At 35.2% G+C, this 10,399-nt stretch overlaps 1 long non-coding RNA gene across 1 annotated transcript; it reads left to right on the forward strand.

The window, feature by feature from the left end:
- The first annotated feature begins 7,254 nt into the window (after positions 1-7,254).
- LINC00867 (long intergenic non-protein coding RNA 867) lies at positions 7,255-9,350 on the forward strand. The gene is made up of 3 exons (NR_108045.1): positions 7,255-7,305; positions 7,674-7,995; positions 9,144-9,350. It is a non-coding gene; the product is annotated as a long intergenic non-protein coding RNA 867 (long non-coding RNA).
- The last annotated feature ends 1,049 nt before the right edge of the window (positions 9,351-10,399 follow it).

Below are 10,399 nucleotides of genomic sequence, written 5' to 3' on the forward strand. Positions count from 1 at the left end.
ATTCTTTTTTAAAAATTGTTTTTACTATACTGGCTTGTTTGCTTATTCATATAAATTTTAGAATTAGCTTGTCAGTTTCTACAAAAATATACTGCTAATATTTTGATTGGGGCTGCATTAAACCTATAGATCAATTTGGAGAGAACTGATATCTTAACATTATTGAGTCTTCTAATCCATGAAGTTTACCTCTAGATTTATTTAGGTCTTCTTTAATTTCTCTCATGAATATTTTGGGGTTTCAAGCATATAATCATGCACATATTTTATATTTAAAACTATTTCTTGGCTTTTATGCTATAAATTGTTATAAACTGTGTTGGAACTGTTTTTAATTTCAATTTCCAACTTTTCATTGCTATTATATACAAATAATTTTTAAATTTTTATTATGCATTTTTTGTTGTTGCATGGATTGTTCTGCAAACCTGAGTTAGTGCAAGTTGCTGGTGCTGTTCAGGTTTAGTATTTCCTTATTGATCTTCTGCCAACTTGTTCAATTGATTACTGAGACAGGAATGTTGAATTATCAAACTGTTATTATGGGTATGTCTATTTCTTCTCTCATTTATATCAGGTTTGCTTCTGGTATTTGAAGCTATGTTTTTAGGTGCCCATATATATAGGGGTTTTATGACATCTTTGTGAATTGACCTTTTTGTTACTATGTAATAGTCATCTTTATTCTTGGTAATATTCCTTATTCTGAAGTCTATTTTGTTTTATATCTAGATAGCCACTCTAGGTTTTAAAAAAATTGTATTTGCATGGCATATCTGTATCCATTATTTTATTCTTAATGTATATATGATATACATTTAAAGTGTACTTCTTGGCCAGGCATGGTGGCTCATGCCTGTAATCCCAACACTTTGGGAAGCTGAAGCAGGTGTAATGCTTGAGCTCAGCAGTTCGAGACCAGCCTGGGCAACACAGTGAGACCCTGTTTCTTTAAAAAAAAAAAAAAAAAAGTGCAAAAATTAGCCAGACCCAGCTACTTGGGAGGCTGAGGTGGGACTATCACTTGACCCCAGGAGGTTGAGGCTGCAGTGAGCCAAGATCCATGCCTCTGCACTCACATCTGGGCAACAGAGCAAGACTCTCTTTCAAAAAAAAAAAAACTGTATTTCTTATGGATAATACATACTTGGGTCTTGCTTTTTTGTCCTGTCAATCTCTTTAAATTGTTGTAGCTGGAGCATTTATATTTGATGTAATTATTGGTGTAGTCATTTAAATCTACCACCTTTCTAGATATTTTCTATTTATTCCATTTCTTCTTTGTTCCTTCTTCCTGTGCTTTTCCCAGGTGAGTCAGTGCTCCCATATCATTGCTCCCTGAAGGAGCTTGTCATTTCTTAGATTTATAGCTATTTGTTTGCCCTGTGAACTTAGTGTTCTGGGTTCAAGGAAAGTTATACTTTTGTCATTTATATGACACTTTCTTATTTTTAGGAAGGTATTAATGCTGTTTGTAGCTTTCTATGTCTTTGGTAGAAGTGGAACTCATCTTTATTCTTGAAGGCTATTTTTCTGGATATAGAATTCTGGGTAGATAGGTTTTTCATTTATTATTTTAAAACTGTTGTTCCATTGTCTTTTAGCCTCTGTTATTTCTGATGCAACCTTTGAGGTCCTTCAAATTATTATTCCCGGATATGGAATGTGTCATTTTTCTCTGGCTGCTTGGAAGACTGTCTTTTTATCTTTAGTTTTCAACAGTTTGACTGTAGTTTTTCTAAATATGCTGTTTATGTTTTAAATATTTTGCTTGAAATTCACTGAACTTCTTAAACTACAAAATTTATATCTTTAGCTAAAATTGAGGAATTTTCAGCCATTATTTCTTCTAGTCCATTCTCTCATTACTTTTCTCCAATATTAGATATTTTAGTATTTGTTTACAGGACTCTGAGGCTCTGATCATTTTTTAAAATAGGCCAGGCATGGTGGCTCATACCTGTAATCTCAGCGCTTTGAGAGGCCAACGCAGGAGGGTCACTTGAGCCCAGGAGTCTGCAACCAGCCTGGGCAACATAGTGAGACCCCATCTCTATTTAGAAAAAAACTATGTGTTAAAAAAGTTTTCCCTCTGTTCTTCAGAGTATATTATTTTTATTGGTCTATCTTCAAGTTCTCTGATTCTTTCTTTTATCATATCCATTCTGCATCTAAGCCATCCAGTGAATTTTTTATTTTACATATTTTATTTTTCTGTTTTAGAATTTCTATTAATTTCCTTTTTATAGTTTATGTCTCCCAACTAAGGTTTTCTATCTTTTCATTATTATATTTTCATTTCAGTCCTGAAGCATAATTATTTTTTAAATTCTTATCTTTTGATTACAACCTTGGTGTCATCTCAGAATTAGCCTCTGTTGATTTTCTTTTTCTTTAAAGCTGCTTCATGTTTATTTGTATCTTTATATGACAAGTAATTCTGGACTTTATGCTAGAAATTGTGATGGATATGTTGTAGAAACTCTGGATTCTATTATGCTTCTTCAAAGGAATATACATTATATATAAATAAATGTATAATGTATATAAAAATGTATATATTTTATATTATATATATATATATATATATTTTTAAGCAGAGACAGCTAACTAGGTTAAGCCCAAAGTGCAAGATGTGTCTCCCTGGCAATAGGTGGCAGCTCAATAGGTGGCAGTTATTTTAGCCTTAGCTGGGCTTCTTAGAGTCTGCCCTTCACTTGCATAATTCAACGGTCATCCAGAGATTAGTACATAGAAACATAGCTTATATGTAGAACTTAGGCTCACCCTTTCTGCCGCTCTTCTTTTCAAGATTCCAGTTCAGTTTCTAGCAGCTGTTATTGACCCAAACTCTTTCCCCAAGTAAGATTTCTATTCAGTTTCTAACCTTCCTACCCAGCTTTGGCTATGACTTGGTCTCAGGATAAAAGCATGAAAAAAAAAAAAAAAGTTAAACTAATCCCTTGCCTTCTGCTTCTTCTGAGTATCTAACCTCTCCAGTATTTGCCTGCTTTCGTTTCTTCTCCAATGCCTTCAAACAGTTATTTTGCTTCTTTCTAGAGTCTACAGTTATTATGTATGGAAAGGTTGGTAAGACAGAAGCTTATTTGGGAAGTGTGTTTGTAATTCAAACAGGTACATATCTCCTTAAACATCACTTGTGTTTTTCATGGAGTCTTTTCATCCTCGTTGTTGTTGTCGTTGTTAGGGTTTATTCATTTTAGTTTATATTATTTAAGATCAAGGACTGTTACTTTTTATGTTCAGTACCACTTTGACAATTGTATTATCTATCTATAGTGGAAGATGCTGGGAACTTGGTAAATATTTAAATGATGAATAATGAGTAAACTTGGCATAGGTTTTTCTTAGCTATACAGAACATATCCTTGTTGAGAAAAAGTATTCTGTGTAAGAAGACTTAATTAATAATTGCTATTTTTCATTAAAAATTGCCATTAGAACAGAAAAAAACACACTCAGATTTCTTAAAAAACAGAACCTCGCTTCTCTTTTAAAATAAAATTATAATTCCATGTATTTAACATTGACTTAAAATCTACTGGTGTCAAAGCACTTTGGAAAACACTATTTTTGTGTGAAAGGGGAGGATAATTAAAAAAGACAGAAATTCTAAGAACCCTTTTCTGAAAACAAAATTTGTTTAAAAAGACAGATAAGACATGCTCCCTGCCATCCAAGAATCTAAAATCAAGTTGGGGATACAGACAGAAGTAAATAACTTTAATATAAAGCAAAAAAATGTTAAGTGCTATATTGAGAATACAACAAACTATTATGTGAGAAGACATGGACACATAGAGGGAGGAACACACACTGGGGTCTATTGGAGGGTGGAGGGTGGGAGGAGGGAGAGGTTCAGGAAAAATAACTAATGGATACTAGGCTTAATGCCTGGGTGATGAAATAATGTGTACAACAAACCCCCATGGCACAAGTTTATCTATGTAACAAACCTGCACATGTACCCCTGAACTTAAAATAAATGTTAGAATAAAACTATCAACATCACAGTAAATAGAAAGCAATGCAATCAGTTCAGGATTCCAAAGAGTTTTTTGGTAAAGGTAGGATAGATACTGGCCTTAGGAAGAAGTAAAGAGCTTAATAGGTATATATGATAGGAAAATTCATCTTAGAAAAATTTGGAAAATTTTAGGCCATGTTTAGGAAAGAGTAGCATGGTTTAATGATAAGACCTAGGACTTTGAAATCACAAAAATATGTATGGCTATGTTCAACAATCTAAACTTCCCCAAACCTCAGTTTCATCATCAGAAAAATGGGAAAGTTGAGTAGAGTTCAAATTGTGGAGACTCTGAAAAGGCGGGTTAATAGAGGCCCATAGACTGTAGTCAGGGAAGCCTGCTAGTTGGCTATAGCAATAATAAAGTAAAAAGTATTGGCAATAGGACTGAATCCAAAAACAAAAGACTGTGTTTTCTGTTCCAAGCATAGACTGGAAAAAGATGAAAAAGCAGGAAAAAATATAAAGGATTTGGCCATTGATTCTATGGAGAAAGGAAAGAATGAAACTCAGGAAGTTTAATGGAAACAGCTAGAACCGATTTAATGAAACAACTCTGAAACTATTGTAAAGTAGATTATATACTATTATTTTATATGGTATATACACAGGATTCATTTTTTCTGATAGAAAGAGAATTATTTAAAATATATTTTGAAATAATCATAAACCATTTTAACTAGTAATAGGACTTGAAAGATGCTGCAAAAAGAAACAATTTTCAATGTTTGCTAATTTTTTCAATTAAAACTCAAAGACCTTTCTCCATAATTTTGCTTAACAGAATTTTTATATATATATATTTTTTTTTACTTTTCTTGTTCACTGAGGTCTTATTAACATATACTTCATGTTTTCCCATATATTACGTCTGTTTTATAGCAACAATCCACTCATTAACACCTCCTTAGTACTTCATTAAAATGTTTTATCCAAATATACTATTGGATTTTTTAATTTGTTTGTTTTGGATAGTGGGGAAATAGTCACAGAAAGGAAATGATACCTACGGTTCATAAGCCTGGAAACTCTTACTAAATGCAAACAAGCTGACATTCATAGTTAAGTGACTACAAGAAGCAATAGCTTAAAAATCGTGCTGTTGGACTTCAATATATTTATCTTTTGCATTTATTAGCATGAATAATAATTCACTAATGTGTGTCTGCTAGGTACAAAACACCATGCTAAGCATAACATACACATTATCTCACTTAATTTTCATGACAACCATGTGTGATACTCTGATTATCCCTAAATTAAACTAAAGGAAATTAAACTTCAGAAAAGGTTATGTGCTCATGATTGCATAGCTAGCGAATGGCAGAATTTAGATCTGAGTCTAGGATCACCTAACTCCCAAGCCCATATGCTTTCTCCTATACCTCATTGCCTCCCCTAGGAAAGAAGAGAAGGGCGAGGATGGAAGAATATCTAAAAACGAACTGAGTCCTTCCTAACTGCCAAACTATTCCAAGTGCTTTTGCATACACTGGCTAATTGAATTCTCACAACAGTCATAGGAGGGAGGTTTCTTATTATCCCCATCTTGAGTCATAGGAGGGAGGTTTCTTATTATCCCCATCTTGTATATGAGTAAACCAGAAAAGGTACCCAGATCTTCCATATGGCATTCAACAGTTCTACAACCAAGATGTGCATAACAATTGAGAACTTTGAGCCAAATAACATCATTTGATGGTCACCAGGAACGTCTTCCTGGTCCCTAAATATCTTCTCCAAGGTTTTCCCCTATCGAAACAAAAATAATCCTGGGGGCGAGAACACAATAAACTTCATTATCCAACTGCACTGCAGTGAAACTGAATGACCTTCTGGGTTCAGGGGAGGTGGTTTTAATGAAAGGAGAAGTAGCAGGCCAAAGGCACCCAAGAAGAAAGGGCTGGGGCACACTGGGAGGAGGAAGAAAGGAGTTACTGAGGATGGTTGAGATGCAGAAAGCCACCCTCGCCCACTTCACGTTTTTCTGGGCTTGGTCTTGCTGCAACCAAACTCACATTTGCCATTCACAAATGGAGATAAGACAATTAGGTGAACACACTGTGTTCCAGAGAAGATGCTGAATTCAAGTATTTTGTTTTTATTATTCTTTATTTATGAAGAACATAAAGCACTTTGCGTGAGATTAGATGTTAAGAGCTATCCATCTGGCTCTGCCAAATATTAACTCAGGTTAATTGTAGGCTGCTCAATCTATCATCCATGTGATGGCTTCACATTTTCAAACAATGTACTAAATGTTCCTCTAAGTTGATATTATTCCCATACTATATATCACATGGGATTTGCCATCTTAACTGCATGAGTGTGTAATGCTGTAAGTGACCCTGTGGCAAAAAGACAAGCGCAGAGTGGGAATGACTCAGCTTGGGCCCTGATCATACTACATCCAGGTGTGATAATGAATTAAGTTAATCTGTGAGTATTTTCTTAACCATAGACTGGAAAACTCTTATTCCCAAGAAGTTATTTTGACTTTTAAGCAGGGAATCCTGTAAAAGGTAGACTATTATAAACTCTCCTCAAGCAAAATATTTGCTTTATGTAAATAGACTTCTCAAGGTAATAAATAATTAAGGAACCTCAAAATAAAATAATGTATGAAGCTCTGAATCCCTAACCAAAAAGATTTCCAAAGATTTACCTTTGGAAATAATCCATCTCTAAGGAGAAATACTGAAAACATACCAACTGCCCTAAGTTCCAAAATCATAAGCAACAATTAAGAGCAATAATTAAAATGGAGAGTCCTGTGTTGAGGAATTGCAAAGACCTGGGTACTAATTCTTTTCTCCCAGGCAAGTTACTTAACCTCCCAGAGTTTAGATGTTCATCTGCAAAACAGGAATAACAGCACCTGCTCTGCCAGCTTGCACAGCAGTTGTGAGGATCAAATGCAGAGGCGGCAATAAAAGGGCAGCACCACCTGTACCTCCGAGACAATCCAGGTATACAAGGTACAATGAGGTCTGGCCCCAGGGCTGACCTCAGACTGTGCCTTAACACTCTGTGTCTTACTGCATCATTTCTGGAAGGTTATTTCAGAAGGTGGTAATTACAGAGAGTAAATTAGGGCTAAAGCAGGATGAGAACTTGCTTGGATGTTCTGTTGAGGAAAGAGAGGTGGAAGGAGCAAAGGGCTCAGCACCCAAAACTCTGGGAATCACTCAACTTTAGAGAAAGAAAGCAAAAGCACTTTTAAAATGAGTTAAGTGGAAGACGAACAGACAAATGAGGTAAGCACCCTGTCCTAGAACCTCTGGTTGGAGTGGGTTGAAGAGGGACCTGATAAGACTAGTGATTTTGTTGTCATCTTAAGAGAGTATCTAAGTAGAAAACTAGTCTGTAAAAATAGATACCAGAAACGAGTTGTGCCTGTCACTGGGTGGTGGGACCACTGGTGGGAATGTGTGATTTTTATTCTTTTTGTTTATCTATATTTTCTACTATGAGAATTTCACGATGAGAATGTATTATTTCCATAATGAAATTGCTACTTCTGCAAAAAGTAAAAAAAAAAAAAAAAAGATTTTAAATTATATATTATATGTAAAAAAAATAGATTTTTTTTTTTTTTTTAGTTACTGGGCGCTTTATTTTACAGGTAACTTCTATAAAGATGGAGGTTGCTTCTGGCTCATCAGCCATCGTTGATGGTAACCAGTCCTACAATTCTCATTAGGCAGTTCTGTTACCCCACTATTTCCTTGGGGTCTGTTGTGCTAAGGACAGGATTGGTTGGGTAAAGGGGTGTGGCACAAATAACCCTCAGGAATACAGGCCACAGAGCTAATGAAGGGCCCCAAGGAAAGAAAGACCTGCCCATCAGCGATGAATTCTCTCCCCCAGTGCCACAGACCTGAGGGCACGTGACCCAGGAATGTGCATCCAAAGATAATACTACCTTCAGAGAACTCTACTTATAGGTAAGTAACTCTCCTTTATAGGAGGTATCTTTGTGTGGCAGACTGTTTATGCGAGCAATTTGAATTGAACTTTAAATGAAAAAGCATATCTCTGTAAGTGGTAATAATTTTAGTCATCTCACTGTGGCTAGGGGTTGTGGAATTCATTAGCACAGATTAACATATAAAGTGGGTGAGATATCTAATAGCAAACGGAGAGGTTTAGGGGCCTTAATTCATCACTGAATGAACAGCGTGTACAGTATTAGGGACTATGAAATTTTTAATTTACACAAAGTGTCCAAGAATATAGGGAATAAATTTAAACCCAAAACAGATAATGGAGCTATGCCCTACCTGGCTGGCAAGTTGAATTGTTTTTACACTGAGTGAAGAAAGCTAATTATCCCAAGCACAAGGAGACTGCTAAAAATAATAAGATTATAAGGAATAATTTGCTGATATAATTACAACAAAATTGGGTACACACAATCGTCAGATACATGTATTGCTTGACCTGGGTGAGAAAGTGAAATAAATCCTTCTTCTATAGCCTTCGTAAATTTGTTTTTATCATCTCCAAGTGGTGTTTGCACAGGCAGCACAATTTGCATGTGTAATGTGGCTGTACAAATTGACAACAAGTAAATTATTCAAGGAAATAGGCTGGTCGCGGGTCTGAACTATCTCGCAAAGCCTATTCATTTTGAAGAATCACTGAGACGTGAAGCTCATACATCAACCGTTTTCTGACAATCCTCAGACTTATTGTCTCCTAAAATGTCATTATGGCTATTATTTATGAAGCTAATTCATTTATTAATATATATTTAACTCTGACTTGTCATGCACCTTAGCAGACATTCTGTGCACTGCATATTTTTGAATAGATGAAAGGCTTTTGCATGCTTTAATGATTACTGTAAGCTGCTATAGATTTATAGAATGCAGCTTTATTATCTACTTGCATTAATACCTTTTTATAAGTTTTTTTTCTTAAGGCCATCAAATATAAATGGCAAATGACATATTCAAAAGATTGTGTGGAATAAGATTTTCCTAGAGTTTGTTGAATTTTAGAACAAAGTGGGTTATCTGTCAGTTAAGGCCTAATTCACCTAAAAAGATGGGTATATACCAATTATGTTGAATTTTCCTCCAAAATATAGGCTGTGGTTTTTCAAGAAAAAGGAAAAGATTCATAATTCATTGAGCTCTTTCCTTGTGAGAAGAAAGGCCACTCTTTTGTGTGCTGAAGTTGGACAACAGTTCCCAAGGAAGCTGAATTCTAGCTGTTTATTGTTATTGGGTTTTGCACTATGCCCTTTATGTTGTCATTAATCAATAAATACGTGTGGAACAAATGATTAACTAGATGAATGATCTCCAGGTTTTCTGATAATGCCATGAGTAAAATCAGTAGAATCAAACATCTACTTAGAATACCATTTTATATAGTTTTGCTTTCTGCTTTAGCACTTCTAACCTCTAGAGAATGTTCTGTAACTCCCACCACGATTTAAAAATAAGCCATATGTGTATGTAATCAAAATATACAACACACGTTATTTTTACAGTCTGCATAATAATATATCAATACTAGACATGTATTGCTACTTCTTGTTGTCACTGGATAAATTCTGCTCACTAAATGTGACCTTGACTACTGTGTGTGTGTGTGTGTGTGTGTGTGTGTGTGTGTGAATGTGAGTGTGTGAGTATGTATGTGTCTGTGTGTGTGTGAGTGTTTATGTATTGGGAGGCAGGGAGAAGAAACTGAAGAATAAAAAGGAAGGACGATACAGTTGCCTCAGCTATTCTGTTGTGAGTATGTTTCATGCTAACCATTCAAATATTCACCATATTTCTAACTTAACATTTCTGCATTTTTGTAGGTGCAAATGTAAAGCTCTTAAAGTACCAACCAAGCAGAAAGGCAGCACAGGCAAACCTAACATTCCTGCCATTTAACTATGGATTTGAAATTGTGACAAACCAGATGCTTCATTTTAAAGATAAAAATTGTACAAAGATGAAAAATGTCATTATATACCTGAATATTATGTTGAATATATTAGTTTTAATAAGGTCATGAAATCACCAAAACTTTGAGACAATTAAGATGTGTTGCTAAAATGTTGCTTAATCTATGAAGATAGAAAGTAGAATTAGCTGGGTGTGGTGGTGTGCACCTGTAGTCCCAGCTACTAGGGAGGCTGAGGCAGGAGGATAGCTTGAACCCAGGAGGCAGAGGTTGCAGTGAGCTGAGATCATGCCACTGCACTCCATGCTGGGCAACAGAGCAAGACTCTGTCTCAAAAAAAATATGTAGATTAGTGGTTGCTTAGGGCTGATGAGAAGTGACTGCTAATGGGCATGGGAGTTCTTTTGGGGGTGACAAAAATGTTTTAAAATTAGATGGTTG

Source organism: Homo sapiens, chromosome 10 (genome assembly GCF_000001405.40).
Source record: "Homo sapiens chromosome 10, GRCh38.p14 Primary Assembly".
NCBI lineage: Eukaryota > Metazoa > Chordata > Mammalia > Primates > Hominidae > Homo > Homo sapiens.